The following is a 2,114-nucleotide window of genomic DNA, read 5'->3' on the forward strand; positions in this document are numbered from 1 at the left end:
GGGGAACAAGGAGCATAAATATTATGAACAAGATTGTTTGTTTACTTATCTTGGGGTTATGATACTGCATCACTAATGTGATGATCTTAACAGGATCTTCAAACGTTCCGTCCTCAAAATCTCCACTCCATGAGGCTGTGCTGTAAGCCAGAGGCCATCATCCTCCCTCTTGTCCCATCTGGTCAAGCATCAACAGCTCAGCCTCCCACCGTTGTGCACCCTCACCTCCAGGGTCATCCAGATGGTCAGTAGACATGTTGCATGACCTCCTGTTCTGTGTGGGTCACTCAGGGATGCCTCCTATCTTCTTTATGGCAGCGCTGTCTTTTTCAGCTCTGCTTCTGGCCACCCAAAGCCCTCCACTCAGACTGGGCAAGCTGCCCAGGGGCACAGAGGCACACACCCACCGTCATGCCCCAGAATCCCGAATGGGTGTCCGCACCAGCTCCACTCTGAACAGACAAACACTCCTTACTCTCCTATTAAAGGGCTTGGAATATTATTTCGTACACAAGCAATAAAACATGGCTTCAATAGATTACTCAAGTTTTCAGATGCCAAGACACAGAAAAAAGGTGGAGGTTTTTAAAATTATTTAAAACATCTTTTGCTGGGCTTATTTTCTTTGCTGTTTATTTGTGTTTATCAATGATATGAAAAGAAGTCCCAGGAGAGGGGAGGAAATTCTCGTTTACATATCGACTAAACCTGCTGGAGCCTCCTATTCAACCAGCAGTGACCCTGCACCAGGGCTGAAGAGTCTGTGTGAGAGAGCGAATGTCCAAATGAGCAGGGCGGCCTCTGGGGTGGGGATGGCTCCCCCTCGATGGAAGTCCGCCTTCAGAAACAGAGCCTGATAACAATCACTTAAAATGGCCCATTAGCATTTATTAACATATTCTGTAAATGGATCCTTAGGCACATGGGGGTTGGAAGCAGCTTCATCACCTGGAAATGAGCACACGTATCATTGACGCTAGGACCACTGACAGCCAAATACGAAGCCTTTCCGGAAAACCAAACACGGTGCCTTAGAGAGACACTGCTGCCAAAACATTTGGGCTTAGAAACAGCAACAGCACATCACGGCAAGGGTAGCTGAGGCTCCATCACATACCCAGGACCAAGAGGCGTTCTTTGGGAATGCAGCAATTATTCTCGTGAATGTGCAACATGTCACAGTGTCTGAAGCTGGACAGATTTGTGTCTGTCACTGCTTTCAACTGAGGCTCACTTGGCACAGGTCTGCTGACACACCCATCTCGGAGGCAATCTAAACATAAAAACAACATGATTTAGATGTGTTCATGCATTTATTACATAGAAACAGAAGATCCCCACATCTAGCCGGGATGGCAACCATAAAAGCACTGGAGTTGACTCAAGCCATGGCTCAAACCGCAAAACACTTAGGAGCCAGGTGTCCACAGCATCAGTGGGCGCTTTAAACCCCAGCAAGTTCAGCACTTTCCCCCTTTCTAACATGACTCAGGCCTTCCCAAGGAGGATGGAGAGGGAGAAACTGAGAAACAAGAGTGTGTCCTAAATAGTCAGAGATAAAGGTGAGATTATAGCATTCCAGAAGCCACACCTTCTTCTCTTCTGTATAATCCCAAGTCTTCTAGCATGTGAGGGTTACAGGCATCCCAGCAGCACGGCACACGTGGAGGCCTCGGCTCCTGTGGCTCTCCGGAGCTGTCCATGGTTTGGGTTCAGGTGGCTTCATGTCCATCGGCGTCCGTCACGAGTTCCAGCTTGGTCTACCACCATGTGGCAGAATTCAGGCTCACAGCCCACGTGGGAAGCTGGGTTCTGAGGTCAGGCTCACAGCCCACGTGGGAAGCTGGGTTCTGAGGTCAGGCTCGCAGCCCACGTGGGAAGCTGGGTTCTGAGGTCAGGCTCGCAGCTCACGTGGGAAGCTGGGTTCTGAGGTCAGGCTCACAGCCCACGTGGGAAGCTGGGTTCTGAATTCAGGCTCACAGCCCACGTGGGAAGCTGGGTTCTGAGTTCAGGCTCACAGCTCACATGGGGAGCTGTGTTCTGTGTTGTTGAATTGCCTTGTGATTCATGAGGCATCATGGGCTCCAGTAAAGCTGGAGCGGGAACAAAGGGAG

This window comes from Homo sapiens, chromosome 18, assembly GCF_000001405.40.
Source record: "Homo sapiens chromosome 18, GRCh38.p14 Primary Assembly".
Taxonomy (NCBI): Eukaryota; Metazoa; Chordata; class Mammalia; order Primates; family Hominidae; genus Homo; species Homo sapiens.